Genomic DNA, 14,260 nt, shown 5'->3' with positions numbered 1-14,260 from the left:
ACCTGCACTCAGGGATTTTATTCATGACTGTGTTTTTTAGTGACAAGTTTCCATCTCTTTTTTTTTAGACGGAGTCTCGCTCTGTCACCCAGGCTGGAGTGCAGTGGCATGATCATGGCTCACTGCCAGCTCCACCTCCCGGATTCATGCCATTCTCCTGCCTCAGCCTCCCGAGTAGCTGGGACTACAGGCGCCCGCCACCATGCCTGGCTAATTTTTTGTATTTTTAGTAGAGATGGGGTTTCACTGTGTTAGCCAGGATGGTCTCGATCTCCTGACCTCATGATCCACCCACCTCAGCCTCCCAAAGTGCTGGGATCACAGGCGTGAGCCACCGCGCCTGGCCAAGTTTCCATCTCTTAACAAGGACCTCAAAGGAGGCAGAAAGAACCACTCTCCACTGACCTGAGGGATGAGAGGGAAAGAGAGAGAGAGGGAGAGAGGGAAATGACTCACAAAAAGCATGCTGGTGTCTCTTCACAACTATGTCTAAGCTCATCCATGTGGCTTTGCCTTCTTTTCTTTTAACAGTTTCTTTCACAGAGCAGAAGTTTTAATTTCGATAAAGTCCAGCTTACCTGTTTTCTCCCCTCATGGATTATGCTTTCGATGTAGCACAAAAACTCATCGTCAAATCCAAAGTCATGTAAATTTTCTCCTGTGTTATCTTCTAGAAGTTTTATACTTTTATGTTTTATATTTAGGCCTATGACCCATTTTGAGTTCAGTTTGTGAAGGGTGTAAGGTCTTTGTCTAGATCCTTTTTTTTTTCTTTTGCATGTGATGTCTAGTTGTTCCACCACCATTTGTTAAAAAGACTGTACCTTTGGGCCAGGTGCGGGATTACACCTGTAATCCCAGCACTTTGGGAGGCTAAGGCGTTGTGGATCACTTGAGGTCAGGAGCTCAAGACCAGCCTGGCCAACATGGTAAAACCCTGTCTCTACTAAAAATACAAAAATTAGCCAGACGTGGTGGTAGGCACCTGTAATTCCAGTTGCTTAGAAAGCTGAGTTAGGAGAATTGCTCAAACCCAGGAGGCAGAGGTTGTAGTAAGCTGAGATCGCATCATTGCACTCCAGCTGGGCAACAAGAGCAAAACTCCATCTCAAACAAAACAAAACAAAAACCAAAAACCAAAAAACAAAACTGTCCATTTATCCGTTGAACTGCATTTCTTCTTTGTCAAAAATCAGGTGACTGTACATTTACATAGGTCTATTTTGGGGCTCTCTATCCTCTTACATTGACTTATTTGTCTATTCTTTCACCAATACCAGACTCTTGATTGCTGTAACTTTAAAATAAGTCTTAAAGTTGGGTAATGTCATTCTTTCTTCTTCTTCAATATTCTATTGATCTATCCACAGATCTTTTGCCATTTCATGTAAACTTTAGAATCAGTATGTTGATATCCACAGAGTAATCGGCTGAGATTGTGACTAGAATTGCATTGAGTCGGCCGGGTGCGGTGGCTCACGCTTGTAATCCCAGCACTTTGGGAGGCCGAGGCGGGCAGATCATGAGGTCAGAAGATTGAGACCATCCTGGCTAACACGGTGAAACCCCGTCTCTACTAAAAATACAAAAAATTAGCCAGGCTTGGTGGCAGGCGCCTGTAGTCCCAGCTACTCGGGAGGCTGAGGCAGGAGAATGGCGTGAACCCGGGAGGCGGAGCTTGCAGTGAGCCGAGATCACACCACTGCACTCCAGCCTGGGAGACAGAGAGACTCCATCTCAAAAAAAAAAAAAAAAAAAAAAAACAAAAGAAAGAATTGCATTGAATCTATAGATTCCCAGATGGGAAAACTGACCTCCTGGCAATATTGAGTCTTCCTATCTACAAACATTAAACATCTCCCCATTTCTTTAGATTTGTTATTTCTTTCATCAGAGTTTTGTTGTTTTCCTTCATATAGATCTGATACCTGGTTTGTTAACATATACCTAAGTGTTTCACTTTTTTACTGCTAATGTAATTGGTGTTTTGCTTTTAATTTCAATTGTTTATTGCTGATATATAGGAAACCAACTGACTTTTGGATATTAATCCAAATTAAATTTGGTTTAAATTTCAACCAATTAAAGGTTTCGCATCCTGCAACCTGTCTTTAATGACGTATCAGTTCCAGGAGAATTTTTGTTTATTATTTGAGATTTTTCTACTGAATAATGTAGAATAATGTCATTTTAGACAAAGATAATTTTGGTTTTTTTTTTCCCAATCTGTATACCTTTTATTTCCTTCTCTTTTCACACTGTATTAACCAGGACTTCAGTATAATGCTGAATAGGAGTGATGAGAGGGGACATCCTGTCCTTATTCCCAATTTTAGAAAGAAAGCATTTAGTTTCTCACCATTAAGTATGATGTTAGCTGTAAACTTTTTGTAGATGTTCTTTATCAGTTTGAGCAGTTTTTCCTCTATTCTTAGTTCGCTAAGCGTTTTTAATATAAATGCGTGTTAGATTTTGTCAAATGTTTGTTCTGAATCTATTGATATGATCATTTGATCTGATTCTTCTTTAGCTTGTTGATGTGATAGATTGCACTAATTGTTTTTTGAATGTTGAGATTGCATACCTGACATACACCTCACTTGATTGTGGTGTATACACACATATTGTGTTTTTTATATACTATTGGATTCAATTTGCTAATATTTTGTTGAGGATTTTTGCATCTATGTTCATAAGAAATATTTGTCTAGAGTTTTCCTTTCTTGTAATATCTTTATCTGGTTTTGGTATTAGGGTAATGCTGGCCTCATAGAATGAGTTAGGAAGTATTCATTCTACTTTAATTTTCTGGAACAAATTATGAATAACTGATATCATTTATTCCTCAATTGTTTGGTATAATTCACCTTTGAACCCCTCTAAACTTGGTGCTTTCTGTTTTGGAAGTTTATTAATTATCAATTCGATTTCTGTAGTCCATATAGGCCCATTCAGATCATCTATTTCTCCTTATGTGACATCTAGTAGGTTCTGTCTTTCAATGAATTGGTTCTTTTCATCTAAGTTGTACAATTTATGGGCATAGAATTGTTCATAATATTCATTTATTGTCCATTTAACATCCATTTGATCAGAAATGATGATCCCTGTTTCATTTCTGGTATTAGTAATTGTGTCTTCTTTCTTTCTTCTTAGCCTGAATTGAGAAATTTTAAGATTATTTTCACATAAAAACATACATGAGCACATTTGCAAAGACATCCCTCAGTTGCTGCAGCGCCAGCTCCACCCTCAGTCTTTCCAGCAGCCTGCAGTTCTGCTCTTTTACAGGAAACTTGAGGAGTACCTAAACATCTGACTCTCTGCGTGTTACATTTCATCGCTCCTCTGAACTAGGGCACTGAGGGAAATTTTTCTACTGAAAGGTACCATCTTAATTTCTTTGCAAATTAGCATAGAAGAGAGAATCTTGCACTTCACACTAATGAGAACAGTGTGTGGTTTTGTGATTTGGGAACCTGGCAAGGCCACGCAAGCTTCTTGCTGAGCAGCAGTACCGCACTGCCTCCACCAACCCTTAACATCCCCAGCCTCGAAAGTCAAAATAAAAGTCAGAGTGGACAGGTGAGTATTGGGTGGAAGGATGAGAAGGGATAGGGGAATCCATCTAGCTCACTGCAGGATGATGAAACAGAGACACAGATTTGAGTGTTATTCAAGGTACCAGGAATTTGACTTATACTTGCTTCCTCTCCACAGAATACTGTGAATACACACAGAGCCTGGGCAGAAACGAGATGTTACACAACCTCCAAGATATTTCTACAAGTCGTCTCTCTTATCCATTCTTTCTTTTCATGCCAAAGATAAATCTGTGGCATAAACTTATATCAACAAGTATTTGAAGGAATTTAAATATCTATTAGTAACAAATGGTCTACATATTATTAATATCCATATGGAAATAGCCATATAAGATTTACATGTAAATGACCACATTTCATCAGTATTATAAGGATTTTATTGATTCATTCATATTATGTTAGAATAATGTGCCTATCTAGCACAATACAATCTGAGCACATTTAATTGAATACATAAACTGAATTTTGTCTTCCAAATCTTAAAGTTCATTGATATGTACGACGAAAGCTTACTTATACCATTATCTTGCAACCGTTAGCATAAGATGATTTTACCTTATCTCAGGGAGTATTCAATTCTGTAACCTCTTTTTTTTAGGTTTCAAAAATAATCTTTATTTTTTTAAGTTACTATGTGCATTATAGGAAACTGAAAAACACAAGAAGCAACGAAAAAGGTCATCCACAATCACAAGCAGTTTACAGTTTAACATGTCCTTCTAGGTCCTGTGTGGGTGTAGATACAATAGTCAATTTTATGGGACTGAGATCATATAGTATGTATCATGCTTTTTCACACATCTTGAGTATTTACCAATTCAAAATCTCAAAGCTATATGAGTATTTTGATCATCAAGAATACACTACACCCACTCAATCTGTTGGAAAAACAATGTAATCCTGCCTTTCTTGGGCCAAATTTTCATAAAAGACAAAAATTGGCAACACGCCTCTAAGTAAAAGCGTTGGCAGAGTTTTTATTAAAATACCGCATTCCTTTAGTGCTCACTTTAAAATGAAATATACAGCAATAGAATACACTAAGTATAATGTTTCTAAGAGAATCCATTAGCAGATCTATACTATTCAAATATTAGCAAGGTATGTTTTCATTGAAATACCTAATGTATTCCTATAGTACAGCTAAAAGAGATGCACATACAACAATGGCTATCATCAAAATGTAAATATCGACACATCTGCATACATCTCTCTCTTTATACTTCCTTTTGCTGCTCTGCTGCCAACCTAATGAACAAGTCCTGGCATACAAAGCTCAGAGATGGTTTAACAGTTCCATGTCCAAGTTGCATCTTTTCTATAAATTATAACAAGAAAAAATTTACAAATTGGCTAATTCACTAGTTCTACTTTTTATCACACATTATCACCCCAGGACATTCATAAAGCTTAGATAGTGCAAAATAATAAACTTTGTCCAGAATTACACACAAGCACTTTACTAAAAATGCTCATGTAGACCTATGGTTATCATCTAAAACCATCTTCTAGATGTGGAGATACTAGCAAATAGCTCTTTCCTTCATCCTTCCTTTTCTCCCTCTTCCACCATCCCAGTGACTAGGTATAGGACTATGCCTAGCTCCAAGAGGTGGAATAACAAAGGTCACTCCCAGAAGACAGGCCTCCTAAAATATAACAAAAGAACATTTGTAGACGGATTGTTTTACTACATCTATTTTTAACATACTTTGAGCATTAAGACTTGTTTATCTTTTAATACCCACTATTGGCCAGGTGCGGTGGCTCACACCTGTAATCCCAGCACTTTGGGAGGCTGAGGTGGGTGGATCACCTGAGGTCAGGAGTTCAAGACAAGCCCGGCCAACATGGTGAAACACCGAATCTACTAAAAATTACCAAAAAAATTAGCCAGGTGTGGTGGTGTGTGCCTATAATCCTAGCTACTCAGGAGGCTGAGGCAGGAGAACCACTTGAACCCAGGAGGCAGAGGTTGCAGTGAGCCTAGATCACACCATTGCACTCCAACCTGGGCAACAAGAGCAAAACTCCATCAAAAATAAAAAACAAAACACTATTAACTAAAATGCATATAGAACAATGGTTAGATCATGTGAACTAATCTAACTCTTGGGCACAGAACCCTTCCCTTTGCATACTTCCTCCTCCTACACCCACCATCACCCTATGAACAGTCCAAAGCATCAAGTTTAACCATTCCATTTCCAAATGCAAACACTCCTAAAAAGTAATAAAGAAAATGCTTAAAGGGTGTCACTTTAGCCCTCTACTTCTAACCTATGTTGTGCACTTTTAAACATTTAGAAAGACTAGATGTTTCAAAGAGGACTTAGGTTTTCCACTATATACATAGTAGCATTGAATAAATGGTGCATATACATAACATAGACTGTAATTTGAAAGTGTCTTCTAAATACGAACATTCTGGCCTAGCACCCCTCCCCTGAACATTTTGGCCTAGAACCCTTCCCGTTCCAACCTCTGTCCACCCTGTGGACAGCTATAAGCCAAATGTATTGTGTAGAAAGGATTCTAACAACCTCTGCCTCCAGGGTTCAAGCAATTCTCCTGCCTCAGCCTCCCAAGTACCTGGGATTACAGGTGCCCGCTGCCATGCCCAGCTAATTTTTGTATTTTTAGTAGACACAGGATTTCATCATATTGGTCAGGCTGGTCTTGAACTCCTGACCACAAGTGATCTGCCCACCTCAGCCTCCCAAAGTGCTGGGATTACAGGCGTGAGCCACCGTGCCCTGCCCACTTCTATGTTTTTAACAACAGTCTTCCCTATGAATTTTAACACAAAACGTACTCAGTGTTTTAATTCACTAAATCTACTTTTGTCACGCACTGGACCTCTCTAACATCTACAAAGACTAGATGATATAGATTAGGATTGGTTTGTCCTCTTATGTACGCTATCTACACAGCACAAAGAAAATGCAGACTTAGATCAAGACCATCCTGGCAAACATGGTGAAACTCCTTCTCTACTAAAAATACAAAAATTAGCTGGGTGTGGTGGTGCACACCTGTAGTCCCAGGTACTCTGGAGGCTGAGGCAGGAGAATCGCTTGAATACAGGAGGCAGAGGTTGCAGAGAGCCAAGATTGCGCCACTGCACCCCAGCTTGGTGACAGAGCGAGACGTCGTCTCAAAAAAAAAAAAAAAAAGATAATAGTCAATGTGCCTCACCATAAACACACTGGTGAAAAGCCCTTTGTACTTTCTGCTCCTCCTTCCTCCCCAAACTGACACAGATATAATAATGTGTACGGCTCAGGGAATTGGTTTGCTCAATTTCCAAAAGACAATATTTCACATCAAAAGGATATCTACAAAATGTGTTATTTACCTCTACTTTTAACATACTTTGTGCACTTCTAAACATCTAAAAAGACTAGATGATGTTTTAAATATGATTTGTTTGTCCGTTATATACACAGTAGTGTTGAATAAATTACACACACGTAACAGTGGTTATAGCCGAAAGTGTCTTCTCAATAGGAACCTTCTGTCCTAGAATCCTTCATTCCTTTCAACTCCTCTTCACCACCAACCAGGTGGATATAGGCACATGAGTCACTTAGAGCTGATGTTATTTCACTCCCAAAAGTCCTTTTCAGAAGACAGTCTTTCTGTGAATTTTAACAAAGCATACAACTTATGCTAGTTTACTAACTCTTTCTGTCATACATTGGCAACCTTTTTACTCTCTAGAGACTCGACTAAATATTATAAAATTAGGACTCATTTGTTCAGTATATACACAATATATACAGTACAGCAAAGGTAAATGAAACGCATGTAACATACAGGCAATGGATTAAGCTGAAATTTTCTTTTTTTTTAAAACCTTTTTTTAAAATTTTATTATTATTATACTTTAAGTTTTAGGATACACGTGCACAACGTGCTAATAAACACTAGCAAAGCAACTTTTGCAATTTCTTCCCTCTCACCACCCTCAACCCAATGAACAATTAGAGAGAGTATGCTGTTCACAGAGGTAGTTCAACAACTCCACTTCCAAATATTATTTCCCATCCATTTTTAAAAAGCTATTTACAAAAAAATATGATTATACTACTTCTGCTTTTAAATAATCACCTGCCAGGCGAGTGGCTCACACCTAAAATCCCAGCACTTGGGAGGCTGAGGCGGGTGGATCATTTAAGGTCATGAGTTCAAGGCCAGCCTGGCCAACATGGTGAAACCGCATCTCTACTAAAAATACAAAAATTAGCAGGGTGGTAGTGGCACATGCTTGTAATTCCAGCTACTCGAGAGGCTGAGGCAGGAGAATCACTTGAGCCTGGGAGGCGGAGGTTGCAGTGAGCCGAGATCACACCAGTGTACTCCAGTCTGGGTGACAGAGTGAGACCCTGTCTCAAAAATAAAAATAAATAAATAAATAAATAAATAATCAAGCACTTCCACATTTCTAGAAAGATTAGATATTTCATGTAACTTGTCCACCACCTACACAGCACTGTTAAATAAAATTGCACACACATAGCAATGGTTATAATGTGAGGTGTCTTCTAAATATGACCATTTTGGCCTCAAATCATTCTCTCCTCACTTCCTTCTCTCTGCCTTCAATCCAGTGGACAAGTACAGACACACGTAATGCTTAGAGATGAACAAATTTCTATCCAAAAGTCATTTGCAGAAGACAAATTTTCCTATTAATTTCAACACAAGGCATAAAAATATGCTAATTTTCTAAGTTCTTTGTCATACATTGCCAATGTCTTTAACAACTAGAGACTAGATGTTGCAAAATTAGTGCTCATTTTTTCATAACATACACTATATACAGAGCAAAACAAAATGCACAAAACATAGAGAAAAAATGGTGTCTGAAGACGTCCAAGTATGAACACGCTAGCATATTACCTTTTGCAATTTCTTCCCTCCCACCTCCTCTAAGCCATTGAACAAGTATAGACAGTACTCTACTGCTCACAATGGTGGCTTCACAATTGAATTTCCAAAAGACAGTATTTCCTATTAGTTTTAGCAAAAAGATATTTACAAAGTGCTATGTTGCCACCTCTACATTTAACATATATCAGGCACTTTAAACATCTAGGTAAACTAGATGTTTCAGGTAAGGAGTTAATTTGTCCACTATGTACACAGTAGTCTGGAATAAACTGCACCCATGTAACCATAGTTATAATTTGAAAGAGTCTTTGAAATATGGACATTCTGGCCTAGGACCCTTCCCAGCTCCATCAACCCAGTGAGAAAGAATGCTCAGATTTTCAGAAGACAATCTCTCCTAGGAATTTTAAAACAAAATGTACAAAATACATTAGTTCACTAATCTACTTTTGCCATACACTGGCAACCTCTTTAACATCTAGAAAAACTAGATGTAAACTGGACTCGTTTGTCCTTTATATACACTATGTACAGAGATACGTAAAACAAAATGCACAGACATAGAGATAATGGTTCATCTTGCCTCACTGTGAGTACAGTGGCACAGAGCTCTCTCCACTTCACCCTTCTCCCGACTCTCCTGAACAGGGGCTCAAACGCACTATGTATTATTCAACAGGTGGTTTGGCCATTCTTCCCCAAAAACAACATTTCATATGAATTTTAACAAAAAGATATTTGCAAAACATGTTATTTTACTACCTCTAATTTTAACATATATCAGACACTTCAGAACATCATGGCTACAATGGCAGAGCCCTCTAGGATTCTCAGCAACACCAGGTACAAATCATCTGTTACCAATGAACAACAATGACAAGCTGGCACAACTCACACGATGCCCCTCAAATCCATGGGTGCAATGCACCACCATTAATTAATCATTATGTTTCACGCTTTGACTAGGGGTCAGCAGGTGCTTTAGCAAAAGAGCTCAGGCTAATTCTAGCCTACTTGAATTAATCCCGACAACACCTACAGGTAACTGGTATTTCTGGGTCATAAGACAGGCATAGGTCTAGCTTTAGCAGGTAGTTCCAGTTTTTCAAAGCAGTTGGTCCACCCTTTGCCCCGTGCAGCAGCAGTGTGTGAGAGTTCTGTATACTTGGCATCCCTGCCAGCACTCAGCATCGTCAGTCTTTTTAATTTTATTCATTCTGTGGAATGTACAGTGATTTTTCATGGTGAGTTTAATTTGCATTTCTCTCATGAGTAATGATATTAAACATATTTCCATATGTTTCTTGCCTATTTTGTATATCCTCTTTGGGGATGTGCCTGTTAATTCTTTTGCCTTAAAAAATTGTCTTTTATTAATTTGAACATGTTCTTTACATACTTAGAACATGAGTCCTTTGTTGGACATATGCATTGTGATTATCTTCTCCAAGATTTTGGCTTGTGTTTCCACTCAATAGTGTACATCAAGGAGTAGAATTTCATAATTTTAATGAAGTTCAATTTATCACTTCTTTATTGTTAGTGCTGATGGGTCGTGTCTATGGGAGGAATCTTTGCCTATCCCAAGGTCATGAAGATGTTCTTTTATATTTTCTTCTCAAATCATCGTTTTAACCTTCAACTTAAGATAGTGATCCATGTCAAATTAATTTTTGTAAATGGGCTGAGCTAAGAGCTTATTCCACATTTTCCATATAGATATGCAGTTGATGTAGCATCATTTATTGAAAATAAATTCTTCACTCACTAAATTGCAGGAGTGGCTTTGTGTAGATTCTGTGACTGTTTATGTGCAGTGTATTTCTGGATTCACCAGCCTCTTCCATTCGACTATTTGTTTTTGTGTCAATACCACAGTGTCCTCATTAACAAAGTTTTAGTGCAAATCTTGAAATCTGGCATTGAGAGTTCCTCAACTTTGTTTTTATTCTTTAACATTTGCCTTGACTATTCAAGATCCTTTATAATTCTATATAAATACAAAGCAATGTATTTCTGAACGGGCTACAACTTCATGAGTAAACACAGCCCATTACACTTAGAAAGTGTTTCTCCACTTGGGTGTTCTAGGGCAGTTTCACGAGAGTGAAATACTCAGGTGGAACACACCTAGAACAGGAGTTAGATGAAAATTGTGGGCAGGACCATCAACAAAGACATGCAGTCCCACAGTTGGGGCTGGGGATGGGGGAACAAGGAAAAGGTCAGGTTGGGGCCAGCCTGAGAAGGATTGGCCCCTGTGGCAGAATCTGCTGGTGCTCTGGGGCAAGAAGAAGAGGAGCTGGGAAGTTATTGCAGTGGTCTAGAAAGAGGCAATGAGAACCTGCACCCAGGTGGTGGCAGAGGGGACGGAGGGGTCTCCTCCAACCCTTGTTGATTTTATCTAATGTTCCCTGCTTCAGAATATGTTTCTGACAATGATATTTTGTGCAGGGCATAAAACTCATTCATAATATTCACATTGGTGACGCTGATTAATTAAAGGGTAATAGAATGAGAAGCACCTTTCAGAAAATATGCAGACAAAAGCAATGATTCTGGTACATAGAGGACAGAAAGGCTTTATTTCACAGTTACCAGGAGTAACCATTTGAGTGTGAGAGCCAAGCCCCAAAGTGGACTCACCTCTCAGATTAAGTTCAGACCCGTTCACCATCACTAACACAGTAAAATGTTATATTTGCTGTTTGTTTTCCCTGCAAACTTAGCCCAACTGGCACTATTCTACCGGGAAAAGGGGAGCCCAGGCTATTTCCTCTGGGGCTCACTAGAGTCCCCTGCCACCCTTTTGGTTCCTGTCCAGATTTTTCCTAGACCCTCTGTTCTGCTTGCTTCACCCACCACCTCCCATCAGAAAAAAAATCAATAAGATCTTTCTCAGTAAGATATAATGAAGACTTCAGCTTTTACATTCTCACAAAGGACAAAACCTTATAACTGATGAAAGCTATGAGAAGGAACAAATAATTTATAGCATTGCAGTCTTCAGAAAGCCAGACGTGACAAAATTTCTGTGAAACTGGCCCCAGAAAGCCGGGCGCGGTAGCTCACACCTGTAATCCCAGCACTTTGGGAGGCCGAGGAGGGCGAATCACGAGGTCAGGAGATCGAGACCATCCTGGCTAACACGATGAAACCCTGTCTCTACTAAAAACACAAAAAATTAGCCGGGTGTGGTGGTGGGTGCCTGTAGTCCCAGCTACTCGGGAGGCTGAGGCAGGAGAATGGCATAAACCTGGGAGGTGGAGCTTGCAGTGAGACGAGATCGCACCACTGCACTCCACTCTGGGTGACAGAGCAAGACTCCGTCTCAAACAAAACCAAACAAAACAAAAAAACTGGCCCCAGAAGACACAAGCACAGCCTCCTCTTTGATACCAATGTGAAACATTCTCCATCTTTACCCCTGCAGAGTTGAGTCGTTACCTCTTCCAAGTTGAGTCGTTTTGAGAGTGATGAAGCGTACTGGAGTCAGCAGTGTTGCTAATAACCGCTGGAGAAATCAATAAAGGTCCTTGGTGCAGATGGGACACAGCAGCAGCTAAAACTGAGGACAAACTCCGGGGTTTGGAGTCAGTCTGGCCCCTTTGCATGTGTAACTGGGATGAAGTGTTAACTTCACTGCTGTGTGAATGTAAAATGCCGCATTATTTTCTCTAAAACAAATTAACTTTCATTCTGGGCTCTATCACACCAGGCTCAAAATACAGTCGTGATTGGGACAACCTCCCCATTCCCTCCTCAAAGTGGAGGGAAGTGCAAGGGATCTGAAGCCCACACGGGCACACACATGCACACACACAGAACTGAGGGTGGTTCTTTTTCATGGAGTTCTGCCATATGCATTTTGTAAAAATGCCGCTTTTTATTTAAAATACATCAGGGACACCACTCTTAGACAAGACATGACCTTGGAGAAGTGTGGGTGGTAGAGCTGTCATCAGTGGGAAGCAGTAAATGGCAGAAGTAGAAAGTGGGGACAACACTGGCCAGGCTGCTGCTGTGTCTTGGGCCAGGCTCCCCCGAGCAGAGAGGAAACAGCACCATGCAATTCCATGCAATGGAATTCCACATGCTGCTCAGTCGTACTTGGATCCTGTCCTCATTGCTTCTAACTACATGACTTTGAACCTTAGTTTTCACATTCCAAAGTGGGAATAATAATAGTCTCACCTCCTAAGGTTGTTTTGAATATTAAATAAGAAAAAGTCACGCCTATAATCCCAGCACTTTGGGAGGCGAGGCAGGTGGATCATTTGAGGTTAGGAGTTCAAGACCAGCCTGACTCCGTCTCTATTAAAAATACAAAAATTAGGTTGGGTATGGTGGCTCACGCCTGTAATCTCAGCACTTTGGGAGGCCGAGGAGGGTGGATCACAAGGTCAGGAGATCGAGACCATCCTGGCTAACACGGTGAAACCCCGTCTCTACTAAAAATCCAAAAAAAAATTATCCAGGTGTGGTGGCAGATGCCTGTAGTCCCAGCTACTTGGGAGGCTGAGGCAGGAAAATTGCTTGAACCCGGGAGGTGGAGTTTGCAGTGAGCCGAGATTGCACCACTGCACTCCAGCCTGGGCAACAAAGTGAGACTCTATCTCCAAAAAAAAAAAAAAAACAAAAAAAAACACAAAAATACAAAAATTAGCTAGGTGTGGTGGCGTGTGCCTGTAATCCCAGCTACTCGAGAGGCTGAGACAGGAAAATTGCTTGAACCTGGGAGGCAGAGCTGGCAGTGAGCCGAGATCGTGCCACTGCACTCCAGCCGGGGCAACAGACCCAGACTGTGTCTCAAAAAAAGAAAAAGAAAAAAAGAAAAGAAAAGAAAAAGAAAAAGAACGTAATGTGCCTGGAAACAACATGAGCACAAATAAATGTTAGTGCCTGCCCCTTATGGTAAATGATATTTTTGGTGTGACAAATACTGGGGTGATTATGGGGACATTAGAGCAGTCTCCTTGAAGTCAAGGCTGTTCTGGAATACTGGGGCCTCTGCAAACCCTTTCTGCTTTCTCCTCTGTCTGCTCTCAAGCCCTCTCTGCAATGAAGAGCTTGATTTCTTTTACCTGCATAATTTCAGAATGTATTTCATTTTTCTACATGCTCTGCTTGTGAGAGCCTGTTGCAAATGTCATCAACTTAAAAGAGGTCTGGCATGTGCCATCCTGGGCTGTATCCCACACGAATAACCCTCTTCATGAAACTGTGCGCACCTCCAATCACCTGAATCTCATTCTCATGATCGTCCTTTGAAACGCTCTGGCTGTGCTGCTGAAAATTGCAGCTCTGAAAGACATACTCAAAATCCCTGCCTAAGAAAACAGTGCATCATTGGGCTTGCACGAAATAAAATCTACGGGTGCCAAACCCTTGCACTTAAGATTCCTCAACAGCTGGCTGAAGGGAACACACCCAGAGTAATTTGCATTTACCTCCTGGATAAACCGTCTAATCAAAAGTACTTTGGTATGAAGCATATTGAAATAGGCTGCATTTGCAGTGGGTGGGGTTGATTTATTCATCTGCCTATGCAACGTATGCTGCTTATGCAGTGCTTTACGACAGTCGCAAGTTTGACTGTTCTATTTTTCTCTAGCCGGTGTTCTAGTGGGCTGCTTGCTTTTTATTATCACAGTGCTCAGAGCTGGAGGGTTCACTGTTTCTATGATTGCTGGCTTGGGGGTTAGAATGGCTTTTCTTTTGGTTATTAGTATTACAGCAGATACCATTTATCAAATATG

This window comes from Homo sapiens, chromosome 9, assembly GCF_000001405.40.
Source record: "Homo sapiens chromosome 9, GRCh38.p14 Primary Assembly".
Classification (NCBI taxonomy): Eukaryota; Metazoa; Chordata; class Mammalia; order Primates; family Hominidae; genus Homo; species Homo sapiens.
This window is presented reverse-complemented; position numbering follows the sequence as displayed.